Source organism: Homo sapiens, chromosome 2 (assembly GCF_000001405.40).
Source record: "Homo sapiens chromosome 2, GRCh38.p14 Primary Assembly".
Taxonomy (NCBI): domain Eukaryota; kingdom Metazoa; phylum Chordata; class Mammalia; order Primates; family Hominidae; genus Homo; species Homo sapiens.
In genome coordinates, this window is record NC_000002.12 from 30,764,554 (window position 1) to 30,782,343 (window position 17,790).

Consider the following 17,790-nt stretch of genomic DNA (forward strand, 5'->3'; position numbering starts at 1 on the left):
CACTGACGAGAGGCTGGGAGTGCCTGTGCTGGAGGCACAGGTTGAACCCCACCTTTGCCACGTATTTGGCTGCTTGACCTTGGGCACATTAATGAGCTTCATGGGGCTATGTTCCACATAGTGCCCGGCACGTGACCATCCCTTAATGAGTCCTGGATATTATTATGTTGAGTAACTCCTGCTTCCCATTCAGTTTAACAGCAGTGTGAAGTACTGACTGTGGGCGAGGGACTATGAGAGGCATATGTTTAAAAACCCCATTCCTGCCCTCTAAGAGCTCATAGCCATACCCTGATGCTGGCAGTGGACATTGGGAGCCACTGTTCTTACTCTGCAAACCCTGATCCAGAATTCCCATTCCCAGAGTTACCCACTCGCCCCCAGATCATTAGGGAGATCACTGGCTTAACTGAAGGTAACATAGGTAAGGATGAGTCTTACATAACATACCCCAAAAGCTTAAAACCCTCACCCCCTTCTCCAAAGCATCTCTTCCTGCCACCCCACCTCCACCCCGACCCATGGCATTTCTGTTTCTGGGAGATGGGCAGGGCCAGACCCAAGAGGCCTAATGTTCCCCAGGAGAGAGGGTGGCCTGATCAGTCACAAAGGAACCTCTCATGCAGGGGCCGGACAGTTAGATTTGTTTTGAGAACTTCAGCTCCCATCCATGGGGTGAATTGGAAGCGTTCCATGGAATCTTGAAATTTAGGCAGGGCAAGCTCACAGAGGATATGGAACTGAGGTCAGATCAGGCAGGAGACCCTGGCATCAAAGCCACCCAGCAGGAGCCACACTCACTGCTGCCTCTGTTGCTTGGGCTTCTCGCCAGGGACCTACACGTTCCTGTCCCCGGTGAGCAGGCAGAGGCAGAGCCCTTCACAGGGTAGAAGGCAGTGGAGGAAGTCCTGGCTGCAGCTTTTGTTCTGGTAATGCAAAATCACACATGATCAGGACCTGGGTCTATCCTGCTGCTCCCTCCAACTGGGTCTTCCACACTGGACAAGACCCTTCCCCTCCCTGCCCTTGGCCTTTCATCTGGAAGCTGCAGGGTGGACTGGATCAGTCCTCAACACTCCTTTCTCACTGTTTCCACCTCTGACATTCTCTCTTCCTGGGGATCACACAGAATTCCAGTAGATTCACTTCAGCAAATGCGTATCGTATCAAGCAGTCACTATCAGCAGGACTCTGCCCCGGGCACGAATGCTTAGAAGGAATGGCTTAGAAAGCCTTTTATTAAAGAAAGCTGAGGATTCCCAGAACGAAGGGGCATCTCTACAGGAGCCCCCATGTGACAGATTAATCTTGACTTGTTTTAAAACTGGTTCTAAACCTTATCCTCCTGCTCTCCCTCTCTCTGACCCAGGGTCTAGATTTTTCTCTCTGGAGCATTTGCTCAGTTAACTGTAGAGCCTTCTTTGGTGGTGAGCGTGCCCGGTTGGGGCTGAGCTCTGGACTCCCTTGCTGTCCCATGTGGGTTCTGGCTCCTGTTCCAGTTACCAGGGAGTGGCTGAGGGTGCTGGAAATTCACAAGGACTGGGGTTTGGGAACCCATTCCCCACCAGTGCTACCTCCTGCTCTTTGCAACAGCCCCTTTCTGGTGATACGCTCAGGGCGCCTTTCCTGGCTTCAAACAGGGCTGTGCTAAAGAACAGCACTCCAGAAAAGCCGCGGTGGGGCCTGGCCCCTCTGTCACTTCACTGTCTCACTGCCTGTGGGCCCCACCTGACGTCCTGCACCCACAGCATCCGGCAGTCACCTCGGAGTCACCCAAGACAACCAAAGGCACTCCCTGCCACTCACGGCTAGAGCCCTTTGGTGTCTTCTGAAGTCTTCTCTTACTACGTATCCACAACGCCCATGAAACCTGTCCCAGCAGCAGCTGGGTGTTTTGACAAGGAGCTATCTTTCTGCTTTCTAAACATGAGCTCACGGATCCTGCTGATGTTCAGGAACATGGCAACTATTCTTAGCCCCCTTTGCTGACAGGAAGTAGAAAGGAGAGAGAGAGAGAACTGTGTTCACCGCAGCCACCACTATTCCTCGTCACCTGACCCAGGAATTCTGAGACAGCCTTGTCCCCATCCCTCTGCTTCAGCCTCATTTGGGGAAAATGTCTTTCTGCCCGGCAATCATATGAAAGAGGAAAGAATTCAGATAGAGCCAGAGAAGATGCTGAAATGCTGTAGAGATCCCATAAAGGATGGGAAGCAGCCTACCAGCTCTCGTCCCTCAATCTCCTCTCTATTTCATGACCTCTGGGGAAAACAAAACCCTAAATATGGTTTTCATTTGACTTGACCAATTAATTTCCAGACTCCCCAGCTGCAAGGAGAATAGAAAGTTTAGAGTCCATGTGTTCACTGGGCTGTTGCCTGCACCCTTGGAGGGAAGAGGTCCCTCTCCATCTGGACAGATGGGCTCTCTACATTTGGGCTGTGGTCCTCATGTGCCAGACGCTGAGCTCCACAAGCAGCAAAAGACAAGTCATTTTCCTGTAGGACTGACAGCGTCAGGGATGGTGGGAAGGCATGGGAAATAGCGACTAGGGAAAATCGTGCTCACCCCATCCTCATCTGCATGTGATCTTGGGCCAGCCATTTCACCTCGCTGAGCCTCAGTTTCCTCATCTTTCAAAGAAGGTGGGGTTTGAGGCTCACAGACGTCCTCTCTGGCTCTGAAACCCCATAATTCTATGTGATTCACCCCTGCATTTCAGAGCTTCCTTTTTTGGATAGTGAGGGGTGGGGGACCTTTTAAACAGCTTTAATAGTTTGAGACATTGTATCCTCTGCAGATTTCTTTAAGCAGTAGAATGCGGATGCCAGGTCCACGTTCCTATTTCTTTTCAAGCTGAATGATTGCTTGAGGTCATCTGTTAACAAAATGGGGTCAAAGTCATCATGTCCTTCTGCAAGATTTCTACTTCTCCCAGGGAACCACTGGTCTCCCCGTTTTTACATAAGGATAAAACGAGGCCCTGAAGAGATGAGGGCTGAATCCGTATTGAAAAGATAATGGCAGTGTTTTCGTAAGAAGCTTATAAGTGAATTCACCTCCCAAACATGTGGATTGGTTCAACAACCTTGGCTGTTATCTGGGCTTCATTCTCAAATGCTAATGAGCAGCTGTTTCTGACACTAGAAATGAATAAAAAATTTAGTTTTTCACAAGTTTGCCTCAAAAAGAAAGAATGCACAAAAAGAGGTCTTGAGGCACCTCACTGTTTGGACTGTGACTTCCAGAAGGACAGGGGTGGACTGTGGTGCTATCACCACCTCTAGGGCCCAGGACTGCACTCGGCAAGGCTGCAGAATGGACGGGAAAGATAAAGATGTCCCCTGGCCAGGTGAGTAAAGACCTGGCAGGCCCAGCTTAACTACGTGCACCTGCCATCTCATCACAAATGGAGACTCATCTCTGAAGAAGAGATGATCTTCAGAATTTTCTGGACCTATGATGCTCTCCACTCATTTTCTCCTCAAGGGCATGGTCCTCTCTGCTTTTATCTGCTAGCAATGATCCCCAGCTCTGGCACTTCCCTTGCCCCTTCACGGTGCCTGCCTCACACACAGCCCCTTCTGAGGGCAAGTGTCCCCTCCCCAGATCCTGTCCCTTTGTAGCCACTTGACCCAGGTCATGGCTGATTGGGCCGATGGGGTCCTGACCCAGGCTTGACCAATAAGACTCCAACTCTCTGGATTGGAATCAGGTACTGGGCAGGGAATCGGGTGGAAAGCAGCAGAAGGTAAAGACAGAGGCACAAGGCCAGTTGGCCTGATGAGGAGTTCAGAGGAAGTGGGGGTCCTGAGAAATGTGGAGCGAGGAGGCAGCAGAGGAAGATGCATAGCAAAGACAGGTGACTGGGTGGGAGGAGGAGGAGCGGGCCAGCTACAGAGAGGAGCAGAGCAGAGCAGAAGCCACAGCAGCTGCAGCCAAACCAACGCCAGAGCCTTGCTCCAGCCCCTGGGGACCAGCCCCATGAGAGTCCCTGCCCCTGGGCCTCTGCATACCTTCCTGTCCTATTTCCAGGTGTGCCGCCTTCCCCCTTCATAATATCGTCACTGCAAGGTCTTGCTCTTTTTTTAAATTTGTTTCATTTCATTTCATGAACTTTCTTTTTTCCTTCCTTCCTTCCTTCCTTCCTTCCTTTTATCCACATTCTTTTTCTCCTCCACCCCAAGACAAGCATTTCAGGATGTGGAATGTGCACCTTTTGTTTGTATGCGTTCTTGTGAAATGAGAATTGCTGGGCACAGAGTTTCCATTTCCATAAATAACTGTGCATGGGATTGCTCAGTGCCTCTTACCTCATTTGCAAAAGCTAGAAAGCTGGAGAATGCCAAGTGTTTGCCAGGATGTGGGGATCCAGGAACCCCCAAATAGCACAGGAGGGAGTGTGCACACAGGCAGCCTCTGAAGGACAACCTGACAATACTTATCTTGGCTACACGCACGTCTCACACCCACTAAGGACACTTCTAGGGGGCCTCAAGGACCCTGTCTCTAAGGACTGTCCCAGTCACAGTGCACAGATGGGATCTGTGGCTTCTGACTGCTGCGTGGCTCTCCATGAAGTGTACCCACCCATTGTACCCACTGACCTCAGTGATGGACACTCCATACCACCCTTGTGGCAGTCAAGAACATCCTCAGATGTGTCCCCTTAGGGGCCCCCAGGAATGTCCCTATTGGGTGTGAGAAGTGTGTGTAGCCAAGCTAAGTATTGTCGGGTTGTCCTTCAGAAGGCTGCCTGGGTGCACACTCCCTCCCGTGCTGTTGGAGGGTCCTGGATCCCCACATGCTGGCGAGCACTTGGCATTCTCCAGCTTTTGCAGTCTCATAGGAGGAGACGGATGTGTCATTACTCTTCGTGTTTCCATTGTATTGATTATGGAAAGTTTGAGTGTATCTTCATCACCTGTGTGGGTGTTTAGGACAGTGCCCTCTTCCTCACACACACACGTGCAACCCCCCATCCACAGTCCTGCACACAACCACTTGAGTCAGTCTGAGAGCATCTGTCCCAGTGCCAAGCACAGTGCCTGGCATATGGTTAAATGCTCAATAAACATCTGCTGAATAAAAGCAACCCAAAGAATCTAAGTACGACATGTGAATTGGGATGTTTATAAGTTCTTAAGCTTGTCAGCACCTAAAGGCAGTTCCTAAGTTATGGTATTTTGACCATATGAGAATAAGCATGTCCTGCCCCACCCCCACACATAAATGCCACCTCGTAGCAGCCACACCGGGTGCCCAACTGCCTGGACCACCCCTGATGATGTCTTTATTTGAATCACTCCCATTTTTGGAGATGCCTCCTCCCACCTATCCCCTCTCCCCTTGCTGAAATCCTGCCCATCCTTTGAGGCCTCACTCAAATGCCACCACCTCCACACAGCCTCAGCCTGACTTTCTGTGAGTCAGAGTCAGAATTGTTCACTCCTCCGCGCTCTCATCGGACTTTGACCGTGATATTATTAAATATATTTCTTTGGGCCCTGATACCAGCCTTGCAATAATATCATTGTCAGTGCATATCTCTGTCCAGCCCCTACCCTGCCCACTCTTCACTATGTGCCTGTGGGACTCTCCTGATGGCCCCAACATGGACCTTTGCACGTGGTGATTGTTTATGGAGATGCCCAGCCAGGTGGCAAAGGCTGCAATGCTCCAACAGGGACTGTTTGCATTCCGGGTAGGCAGGACCAGCACTGAAACTCTGGGCTGATGGGTGGCGGGGTTGTACTTACTTGGCATAGGCCTTCTCCAGCAGGCAGGGCCAGAACTCTTGGTTTTGGTGGCGAGGACGCACAAAGAGGCATTTATCTCCCTGGACAGGTAGGCGGTCATCAATCACCACTTCCACCCACTGGCCACATTGCCAGAACTGGAAGAGAGCCAAGCATATGCTTTGACAGAGTTGAGGCAGAAGGGAGCTCCTGGGTCCCCCAACCTAAGCCAAAAGTTGCAACATGACCTCTACAATGCAATAATGAACTCTATTCCGAACAAAATCCCAGCCCAGGTTGCCAGGCAGGAGACAGGCATGTCATCTCAACCGGCAGATGGAGAAAATGAGTCACAGACCAACTTAGTCCAGGAAGATATAGTCAGGGAAGAAGCAGACTTGGGTTCTAGCTTCACTTTGCTCCTCAGCGTTGCCTCTCTTTGGCAAGTCCTTTGTGAGCTTCAGTGACACAAGTGAAACTCTCCAGGTACTTCTTGTGCACAAAATGGCAATAGGGAAGCAATGCTACCAACAGAGGAGAGTGGTGGGGGCAGGGCTAGCATGAGAGAGGCAGAGCCTGCAGGAGCTGAGGGCTTGAAGGAAGAGGCAGGATTTAAGCACGTGGCAGGGAGACAGGGAAGGTATCCCAGACAGGAGGCACACTGTGGGCAAAGGCCTGGAGACAGATGACATGGATGGCTCAGGAGGACCGAGCAGTGACAGCCTCCCTCTGGCCCCCCTCTTCTTCCATCAAGCTGGCCCTGCCATTATAGCAGCAGAAAGGATACTGGCTGGCATCGCTACTGCTAAGAGCGCAGATGAACCGGATGTTCCTCTCCAAAACAGACTGTTTGAATCTTTAGCATTCAACTCTATATAGTTCACCGGGGACATGGCCAAATGAGGAAAATTCATAACAAATCCAGCTTTTTGGATTCTCTTTGCTGGCCTCCCCTGTGTACGAGAAGCAGCAGGGCTTCCAGCTTCAGCCCTGAGCTTTGGCAAAGGCAAATTTCCACTGGGTGGACTCCATGGAAAGCTGGGTGGATGGGATCGCTTATCCACGTGGCCTTTTCCACATCTGGATGTCCCAGATGTCAGGCTGTTGCATCCAGCCGAGGATGCAATTTCAGAGCAGAGATGGAGATTGAGACAGATATGTCAGTGGAGACAAAGCAAAGATGTTTTAATAGCTGCTAATGAGCCAGTGCACTGTGGCAGGTTCTGCACAGCTGTGGACTTGTGTTCCTATTGCAGTGAGCAGCAAGATGTGTCGGCAGTGAGGTTGAGAGGCAACAGGGATGGTTTTAGGAGGGTGATTACAAAATGCATCCGAAGCACCGAGGGAAGCTAATCCCAGTCCCCAGAAGGGAGTACCAAAAGGACAACCTGGATTTTGTGCTTAATTGGGTGGCAGCATATAGTAGACAGCAGTCAGCTGGTGGAACTGTAGTTGAATGCTGGTCTTGCCTCTTATTACTTTAGCAACAGATGTTGAACAAGATAACTCTCTGGGACTCAGTTTTCTCATCTGTCAAATGGCAGTAAGAGTAGGAACTGCCTCATAGGTTGTGATTAGGATTAGATGAGATCACAAAAGGTGAGATTATGAAAACAAGATTGTAGTTATGAGAGTAGAGACTCTTTGTCAGTGGCCGTTTGGTTCAGCACCTAGGACAATGCCTGGCACACAGTAGGACATTAAGAATGAGTAAGTCCCGGCTCGAATGAGCTTCTCTGGTTAGTTCATCTTAAAAATAACTCTTCGCCCTATCTTCCCACACCAGTAATGCTGACCAAACTTGCTCTCCCTATACAAAGGGGACATCAGATAAGTTTGCCACTCTCAGAGAGGATGCAAAAGGCCTGATTGGTGGTCAAGAATGAGGCCACCACCTGCATTTCCTGGTTCATGCCTCTGGGTGGGGAGGGCTGGCATTTGGATCATGTCTGTACCTTCCAAGAACAATGCTGGAGGCCATTTTGCCAACACCCAGTTGTCTGACAGGGAAACCAGAGTGTTTTAGGCAAAGCATCTGAGGTGACCTGGGCACTGGGTAACTTTTGGAAAGCAGTACCCAGGCTCCCAGCAATGAGAGGAAATCTACAGAGCTTAGTGCACTGCAGCCGCTTCTGGGGAACTGTGTGACTTTATTCACCACCCAAAAGGGCAAAGCGAGTCCTGCCTGGGCCTTGAGTTGTCCTAACCACCTAAGTAGCTCCACCAATGCTGGCACCCTGGGACAAGCCCAGACACAGCTCAATCCTGGATCCTCTAGCTCACTCCCTGGTGTGGTCCTTGAACCAGCAGCACTAGCATCACCTGCCTGACAGAAGACCTAATATGCAAATAGTTGAATATAAGGAGGCAAGAGCAGGATAAAGGAGGGGCCCAGAAATAACAGAGGGAAACTTAGTTGACTAGAAGGATATAGGTCTTCAGATTGAAAAATATCACTGAATTCCCAGACAAGATTAATTTTTAGCAGGTGTACATATAGATTTCTGAACTCCAAGGAGAGAGAGCATTTCTTTTTTTTTTTTTTTGAGACGGAGTCTCGCCCTGTTGCCAGGCTGGAGTGCAGTAGTGCAGTGGCATGATCTCGGCTCACCGCAACCTCTGACTCCCTGGTTCAAGGATTCTCCTGCTTCTGCCTCCCAAGTAGCTGGGATTACAGGCATGCGCCACCACGCCCAGTTAATTTTTGTATTTTTAGTAGAGATGGGGTTTCACCATGTTGGCCAGGATGGCTTCGATCTCCTGACCTCGTGATCTACCCACCTCAGCCTCCCAAAGTGCTGGGATTACAGGCGTGAGCCACTGCGCCTGGCCAGCACTTCTTATAGACTCTCAGTTGGAAAGAACACATTGCATACAAAGTCAAAGTCCAGAGAATAGATTAACATGAGATTTTTCTTCTGCAGCATTGGAAGCTACAAGACAACGAAACAATGTTTACAGACTTTTCAGGAAAGGAAACGTGATCCAAGAATCCTAAACCTAACTGAAATATCATTTTTAAGTGAGAGCAAAGGAAAAACTCTCACATATTCTGAGGAATTATTCAAGGAAATTCTATCTAATAAAGGTTTAATTAGAACAAAAATTTTAAGGAGAAATGAAGGGTGGGAGAAACAGTGGTAGGCAATGAGTTTTAAATATGCTTTTTATAAGAAACACACCTATAACAAAGTGAGCATGAAATTAATAATAAAGAGATGAACAAAAATAGAACAGGGAAATGTGCATAACAGGAAGCCAAAGTGGCAATAGGAATATCAGGTAAAGAGGAACCCAAGGCCAGAGCATTAAATGCAACAAATAGGGATATTGTACAAATTTTGTTGCAATAAGAAAATAGCAAGATCGTAAACCTCTGGGCACCAAAGAACATAGCAGGAAAAGTGTAAAGCCAGAGCACCTGAAAGCATAAGAAGAATTCTCCAAACAATAACTATGGGAGGAACTTCTCCTCTTTATGATCTAATGAATCAAGCAGACAAAAAATAAGTAAAGATGAAAGACATAATGACAGATAACACAATTGCAAATCATAGAGCTTAATTCAGTATGTAAAACTTACAACCACTGGATAATATAGATTGTTCTTGTGTGTCCATGAGCCATTTATAAAAACTGCTGTGGGCTTGGCTAGAAATAAAACTACTTTATTAATCTCCCCAAATGCAGAGAGTTATGAATTATATTCTCCAATTATAATAAAACAGAGACTCAGCAACTAAAAGATTATCCCTTGCAAAACTTAATCACTTGAAAATCAGATAAACTTTAAAGAAACAACCCCTATATGAAAAAAGATACAAAAACTAAAAATGTATTATCTTAAAAATTAATAAAAGTAAGACTTTTTATATCAAAACCTATGGATACACACCTCAGAGGAAAGTAAAAAGACTAAGAATATTAAGTGTGCAGTTTCAGAAAATCACAAAAACAATAAAATTAGGAGAAAGTATAAAGGAATTAATAAAGATAGGATTGAAATAATTAGTTATATAGTAAACAAAACCTCAAAAGAAAAAGAATAGAAAGACTCATGAAAATCAAAAGTTGATTTGTCAAAAAACAAACAAACACAACACCCACACAACAGATCGACTGGATAAAGAAAAGCGGAATTAAGAAAAAAAGGAAAAGTAAAAATACAGCACAGATTGAGAAAGTAGATTTAGTCACAGATTACAAGAGGTTAAATGAATTGTCAGAGATTCATATAAGCAACTCAGTGGCAATATATTTGAAAATACCGAAGAAACAGTTGATTTTTCTAGTCGAGTATAAATTTCAAGAATTAACTTCGGTAGAAATAAAAGACCTGTTGGATAGCTATTGAATACATTGGAAGAATTAAAGAAATCACATTTAAAAGGGAGGCAGGCCCAGGTAATTTCACTACTGTCTATTTTACTTTCAAAGAACAGTTAATCAATGATTAGCTCTCATTATTCTACTTACTTCAAATCAAGGTATGTATAGCTCAATCAGTTTGTTTTAAAAAGCTAGCAGAACTTAAACATGATAAAAATAACATAAACTAGAAATCAATTTTATGCATGATATAGGTACAAAAATTCCAAGACAATTTTTAGCAACTTGAATGTACTGAAAGAAGAGTAAATCAAGGAAGCACATTACTGAAGTCAAGAGAAGGCAGGATTTGGCTCTTGTCACTCATTCAAAATTCTGAGGTTCTAGCTAATGTGACAAAGCAAGAGAGCAAAAGAAGTTCTGCAAATATTAAAAGGAGATAGAAAATTATCTATTTGCAGATAATATTATTAGATAACTAAACCATTCCAGATTCTGTTAAAGAAAGAATTAAGAACTAATAAAAGAATTTGGTAAGTTGGCTAGATGCAGTTTAATATATGGTAAGTAGTAGCTTTTCTCTTTTTTAGCAGCACCAAGTTCAAAATGAGGGGAAAAAGACCTCATTTACATGAGCCACAAAATCATAAAATGTTTGAGAATGAATTAATCAAGAAAGATACACCACCAATATAAATATAACACTTTATTGAAGGACAGAAAACTAGTTCTGAATAAATGGAAAGGTATCCCGTGTTTCTGGAAAGGAAAACTTAAAACAATAAAAATGTAATTTTTCTAAATTAATACATAAATGCTGCTGCATTGTGTATCACAGTGGCTTTTTTTAAAAAAAATAGACAAAATAATTTTAAAATTCTCATGGAAGAATAAATGTGCAAGAATTACCAAGATATTTTTGAGAAAATGGTAATGAATAATGAAGGAGAACTTATCCTACCAGATGTTACCACTTCCTATAAAGCTACTGTAATCAAAATAGCACGATATGGCACAGGAATAGACAGAGACAAAAACTCGATGTTAGTTACAGGGTTCTCGATCAGTGACTCTTTGCTAATCATTTCTGTCATTTCTTTTTATTTACACAAAAACATTTCAACTCTCATCTTCCCTGTGTGTTGTCAGATTATAAGCTTGAATCCTTTTTTTGAAGGTAGGGAGGGTAACTAACACAACTGTCACTTTCATCTCAGGCTTCCCGGCCACGAGAAAACTTAAGACTTTCACCTTCCCTGTACTCACAGAGAACCCCATCATATAATGAGCGCTGCAAGGGCACACGTACCCGGAAACGGAAAATGCCAGCATACTGGTGTGAAAAGCTTTGGACCATCAGGATCTTCTGCCTGTACTGTGGGTTCTGAGTCAAGGATCCCAGTGCTGCCAGGAACCAGCAGTCAGCTGTGAGGGGAGATAAGCCAGGAAAGGCTGATTGGACACACTTGGAAACCCTCCCCCATAATTTCAAAGGTCCTTACCACCAGAGGCTACACAATTCCTTCTAAATAATGCATTTTTTTTTCCTCTGAGAGAGGAGAACCGGGGGAGGGAGTCACAGGGACTGGCTCCAAGCAAGATAAAGAAGGGGCAGTGGTGGTGGTGGTGTTCATGGAGTCTCGCTCTGTAGCCCAGGCTGGAGTGCAGTGACGCGCTCTGGGCTCACTGCAACCTCCGCCTCCCGGGTTCAAGAGATTCTCCTGCCACAGCCTCCACAGCTGCACCAAGCCCGGCTAATTTTTTTTATTTTTAGTGGAGACAGGGTTTCACCATGTTGGCCAGGCTGGTCTCAAACTCCTGACCTCAAGTGATCCACCCACCTCAGCCTCTCAAAGTGCTGAGATTACAGGTATGAGCCAGCACGTCCAGCCTCTGATTCTCTTTTTGCCAGAGGTGCTCAGTTACAGCAAATTTTGGCAATGATGCTGTGTACAATTGAGGAAAACTGATTCGCGTTTTTCTTTGCTGTTAGCTCAGCCCGTCCCTGTGCAGAAGTAGGGGGACGTTCTCTCCTTTTCCTCCTTGAGGGATGCATGGCCTCGAGTTTCTCCTTGGATGTCGTTGTAAGCCCTTTTGAGCCTCTCCTCCCCTCCCTGAGTCCTTTCTCCTTCACCCCTAACATGATCAATTTGTCTTTGAATGCCATTTCACACCAGACACTGGGTTCAGTACAGAAGCCACAAAGATGGCCTCAGAGAGGTCCTTTCTCCAGTTAGGTGAAACTCCAACAGGGGAACCCTTGGCTGGTGGCCAGGCAGGCTCTATTGACTTGGTCCAAGGCACGGTGATTTCACCAGGCGAAGTTCAAGTACAGGACCTATCATCGGCAAGCTGACGTTTTGAAAGCTTAGAGTGTATTCTCAGAAGGGTTGTTGTTTTTGCTGTCTCCCAACTCCTATCCACTTTCCAGCCAGCTCTGCCCTTTCACTCCAAGGCTTCTCTTTCTGAGGTTTCTCTTGGCCACACCTGGAACAGCCCAGGTACCTCCTCTTAGGCAGCCCCTCCTGTTTCCCTGTCCATGCCCTCCAGCTCTCAGCAGCTCCTTTGCTCTGGGAATGTCTGGTGGGGTGGGAAGCAGTCAGAGAGTGCTGGATTCTTAACTCTGTTGCTAACTGAGTGTGTGACATTAAGCAAATTATTTTACCTCTTGCACTCTCCATTGTCACATATATAAAATGGGGTTGTTGCACACACAAGGTATCTTGCACGGTCATTGCAGAAACTCAGTGTATGTTTGCTTTCATTTTTCCTGTCTCCTTTTCCCCTGCTCATTGCAGGCTGCAGGACTGGGCGTGAGCAGTTTGTCCACGGCAGCACCAAGGGAACTGGCCTTTCTCCCTCAGAAGTGGGGCAGGACTCTGTGGGTAAGCACCACCCTCCACCACTTCCTATCCAGGGCACGGAGGGAAGATGTTGCACTCTTACCTGCGCCTCCTTGTTGGATGTCAAATCTGCTTATATCATCCAGGATGAAGTGAGGAGGACCCCCTGGTAGATCCTTTAGGAAAGAGGGAGAAAAGCTATGAACATCGTTTATTCCTTTGTATCCCAAAGCGACATCATTCACTTTGTCTTTCAAGGGTCGAGGTTAATTCTTAAATAGGTGCTTAAAATCCGAGTTAGGAAAGTTCACCACGTTCTTCAGCCTTTATTGCTACCAGGAAGGCAGCAGGTGTCACGGAGTGTAAATGTAACTGACAAGACAGGCCATAAATGCATTAGCATACTACATGGAGAGATAACATAAATAAGGACTTGGAGTCCTTGGATCAAATAGCCATTCCATCTCGACAAGGCAGTGTTTTATTAAGAGGTTGTAAATAAACCATCAAAAATGAATAGAATACATTTATTAGAGGAGAGGTTTATAAACATAATAAAGTACTATAACTTTCATAATAAAGCTTTTGTTGTGAAATGGTATATCTCAGAAATTAGCATAGGTATTTTGGACTACAGGTTTAAGTCTAGCCGTGTGCTGTAAGGGATACAAGGTACACATGACTCAGCTCTTTGCCCACTCCCTGGGTAACTCACAGACCGGGTCTGGAAGGCCGCAGTCCCCTTGTGTGAGGAGCTGGTACTCAGTGCCCGGTCCTTCCTTAACTTCTAACACACATAGTGCCTGCCAGCCAGAGACAGTGGTTATGGAGGATTCCACCAGTGCTGCCACATCTGGGAAGAATATGAAGAACTGTCAGCAGGCACCAAAATTGTGAGAGTTCCTAAAGGGGATCCCCAGGCACTTTGGGAGAACACCAGGCCACAGGTCTGGCTTCTGCCCCAGCACCAGCCAGCCCTCTAGACTTGGCCAGGATGACCTCGGCCTCCTCTCTGTGCAGCTCTTCCTGGATTTGCATAATTTGGTAATTGGTCCTTATATCATTTCTTTTCACATTGACCAATAAGTCTGCAGAGAGCAGGCCCGCAAACTGGAATTGGATTCATTTGCTCAGTAGCCATTCATGTACAGAGTCATGTGCCTTGTAGAACCTGCCAGCTCTTCATAAACTGCCCAGGTTTCCTGGAAGAGATGCACACTAAGGGGAAAACGAAGGTGTGCCCGCCTGCAAACACAGGGTCCTGGCTGCGGGGATGATTTTACCAAACTCCTCCCGCTGCTTTCTCTACAACTAACTGACCCCGTCACATGCCGGGAGGGGAACTCTCAGGCCCAGGCCCTCCCGGGTGAGGGGGACCCTGGGGTGGCACCAGGTCCGACCCTCTGCCAGAGCCATCGTGGGCAGAACTTTGGCATTTCCTCCAATGCAAGAAAGAGGGAAGGACATCCGGAGGGCCTTCGGCTGCATGCAGAGCTCCAAGTAGAGCCAGTTTTAAAATGGTGTAGGGCATTTCAGTAGCCTTTACTTGTCTCCTCTCTCTACTGGAAAAGGGGACTTAGGGTCTCAAAGGAGGCCTGCTGTCAAAGATCCTCCACTCGTGAGAAGTAAAGAAGAGATGGAGGCTGTGGCATTTTCAGACCAGGAACAAAAATGGCTTTGCTCCATTTTCTTGACCTTGGCCACAGCTCTTCTTCACTGTGGTCCTGCTAGCTCCCCTCCAGGGATCCCCAGGGCAGGAGAAGGTGTGCTTGGAAAGCCCATTCAGACAGACCTGTTGTGCAATCCTACTCTAATATTTCTCCCTGGGTGACCTTGAGACCTTGAACAATTCCCGTTACTTTGCTGTGCCTCAGTTTCCTCATGTGTAAAATGGAACAATAATACAAAATGTAAAGACAGTTGAGAGAATCTAATGACGATGCAATCAAGGCAATGGCTGTCATTCATCAAACCCTTGCTGAGGGCGGGTACCTTGGGTTCTCTCTGGTAGGCTCCCAACAGCCTTGTAAAGCTGGACCAGTCCTTACATTTACAAATGAGGAAGGATGTGAAATACTTAGCGCAGTGTCTGACATAGTACATGTTCAACAAATATTGATCCCCCTCTTTTGAAATATTTGCAAAATTAAAAAGGCTATACTCAGACAAACCCATAGCCTCAGATGCATTCATTATTAAACAAGATAGAATAAAAACATGAATTTAGCAGTCAATTCATAGATCTTAGAAAGAAAAAGACAAAAAGAGCCTCAAAAATAGGAGGAAGAACTGAAAAGAACAATTAGTGAATTATATACCAGAAAAACAGCAAGATTAATAAATAAATTGTTCTATTATTTGCCATTGAAAGTAATGGCCAATAATGGTTTTTGCCATTACTTTCAATGGCAAAAACCACAATTACTTTTGCACCAACCTAATATTTGAGGGAGGGTTACATAGACCCAACCTTTGGCAAATATGGTAGAGAAACCCAAATAAAAGTAGAATTAAAAATTGCATTTTAGAAATATAAAATCATGATGTAGAATTCTATGCCAATCAATTAAAAAATCTGATGATTTTTTGACAAAAATTAACTTGGCTAACATTGACTCATGTTAGTAAATAAGCTGAAAAGACTAACAGCCTTGGAATAGTATTTTAAAGTTACCAAAGAGTATCACCCGCATGCGCTGTAAAGGCTTACAGGTACATGCAGTTTTTCCTCTGAGTTCCCTCAAACTTTCAGAGAATAGACAATTCCAGTGTCATTGACAGTTTCAGTGTAAAAATAAAAATTAAAAAAGAATCCTGCCACCATTTAAGAAGCCAGCATAGCCTTGATGCCCAACCTGAGAGAAAACACACAGACATACCAGACTTATTTTGGATAATTTGTTATCATCGTATAGTATTTGCTGTAGAAATGCAGAATGCAAGGATAGTTTCACATCAGACATCTAATAATATGAAGTAGCACTTACATGGGCCAAAGGGAGAAAAATTTGTATCCTTTCAATAAATTCTATGAAGGCATTTGATAAACATACAACAACTTTTCATGATTTACTAGAACAATAAAAGTTAAAAACAAAAATTTTAGCTAATTAGGAACAAAAAGATATTTTAATGTGATGAAAATTCAATGGTGATGATTTCAAACCACAAATCAATAGTCAACTTCAAGTTTATGGGAAAACATAGGAGTCATTTTCATCAAAGGTGGGCACAAAAGCAGCTTCTATGTCTCCTGTCCTCTAAGCTGCTTGTTCCTTCCGGACTCTGGACTTTAGAGCTGTGACCAATAATCGAAAAAGAGAGATGGTAGGAAGGGATGGAAATGATACCCAGGAGCGTTTTAGTCTGCCAGGCTGACTTCCTGAGATGAGGCCCATTAAGGAAACAGGTAAAGATGGCTGGGAAAATGTGAATGTGCTGACTCTGGGAAGGCCACCTGTTACCAGATGGGTCAGGCACATGAGGGCAGTGAAGCCAGTGTGATGAGAACCTGGATTAGATTCAGGCTGAACTGCCAGCAATGGGCAGTCTCCAGCCGACTGTGAATCACCCAGCAGCTTCACAGACAGGGAGACTGCTGTGTCCCACTTCCCACTACTTTGATTTCACAGGTCATTCAGAGATAGCGTTCAAGATTCACATAGCTTCTCAGGGGATTCTGAGACCCAGCCAGGGCCAAGGAGCAGCTTCAGAGAAGTTGACCGATTTGTTCCAGGTCACACAAGAAACAGGCTCTGAATCAGGTGTCTGCCTCCATAGTGTCTTGTTCTTCACTCTGACCACACCAGCAGGCAGCATCTTCTCAACTTTATGTTTTCAGATCCTGTGAGATGGACTTGGCCTTTGAGGGCTCTGAAACATTATTAGTGCAGAAGGAAGTTGGGAGGGTTAATTTTATATACCATCCTAACTGCATCACGGAGCGCCCAGATACTTGGCTAAACATTACTTCTGGGCATGTCCATGAGGGTGCTTCCACATGACTTTAACATTTGAGTTGGGGGATTTAGCAAAGCAGATTCCCTTCCCAGGGTGGGTGGGCACCATCCAGTCTATTCAGGGCCTAAACAGAAAAAAAGATAAACGGAAAATTTGCCCTTTCTCTGCCTGACTCCTTGAGCTGAGACACTGGTCTTTTCCTGTCCTTGGACAGGGAATTACATCATCCATTCTCTGGTTCTCTGGCCTCCCACTCAGATTTAACTACATCACTGGCTTTCCTGGGTCTCCAGATTGCAGGTGGCATATTGTGGGACTTCTCATCCTCTATAAGCATGTGAGCCAATCCCTCCTAGTAAATCTCTCATCATAAATATATCAATAGGATATCTATTAGGATATACATCAATATGTTAATGAGATATATACTAGGATATATTTATATAAGATATATTGATATATTTACTAGCAATAAATATGTCAACAGGGTATATATTAATGATTCTTTTTCTCTGGAGAACCCTGAGTAATACAGAAGCCAACAGCAATAGTCAAGCTAAGTAATCTTAGGAACTTAATTCTGGATTGTGGAGACCTTTCTCCAGGCAAAGCTGGGGGGTAATCTGTGTTATATTAGGTATGTCAGAGCTCTTGTAATGCAAGGGCTCCTGGCATCTTAGAAAATACGCTCTCTGATGTGATCTCAAGCCAGCTGCTCTACCCTAATCGTCTCCAGAGGTAGACGGAGAAATATGCCAAGAAATAATGTCTTCCATGTGACAGCACTCTTCATATTTCTGCATTCTCTCTAAAGACTTCCACATCCTCACACGGCATGCCGCTCTTGGATAAGAGAGCCCTGTGTTTAGCATCTTAGTATTCGGCCTTTTCACATGGTGGCCAGAGTTCAGTCTGGGACA

At 45.5% G+C, this 17,790-nt stretch overlaps 1 protein-coding gene across 9 annotated transcripts in view, besides 1 other annotated feature; it reads right to left on the reverse strand.

Moving 5' to 3' along the window:
* Window positions 1–17,790, reverse strand: part of CAPN13 (calpain 13) — an 84,676-nt gene that overhangs the window by 41,783 nt on the left and 25,103 nt on the right. For all 9 annotated transcript variants that reach the window (XR_939741.4, XR_939742.3, NM_144575.3 and 6 more), the window contains 3 exons: window positions 13,014–13,086; window positions 11,377–11,492; window positions 5,760–5,896 (listed from right to left, as the gene is read on the reverse strand). Coding sequence is in view for 7 of the 9 variants with exons in the window: in NM_144575.3 (NP_653176.2) it covers window positions 5,760–5,896; window positions 11,377–11,492; window positions 13,014–13,086 (326 nt within the window). In the remaining 2 variants the exon portion in view is untranslated. The remainder of the gene's footprint in view (window positions 1–5,759; window positions 5,897–11,376; window positions 11,493–13,013; window positions 13,087–17,790) is intronic.
* Window positions 826–1,326: an enhancer, noted in NCBI's record as "H3K4me1 hESC enhancer chr2:30988245-30988745 (GRCh37/hg19 assembly coordinates)". NCBI's record gives its function as "activates a minimal SCP1, AML or CMV promoter by ChIP-STARR-seq in naive H9 embryonic stem cells {active_cell/tissue: H9 hESC(naive)}" and the evidence as "EXISTENCE:reporter gene assay evidence [ECO:0000049][PMID:30033119]".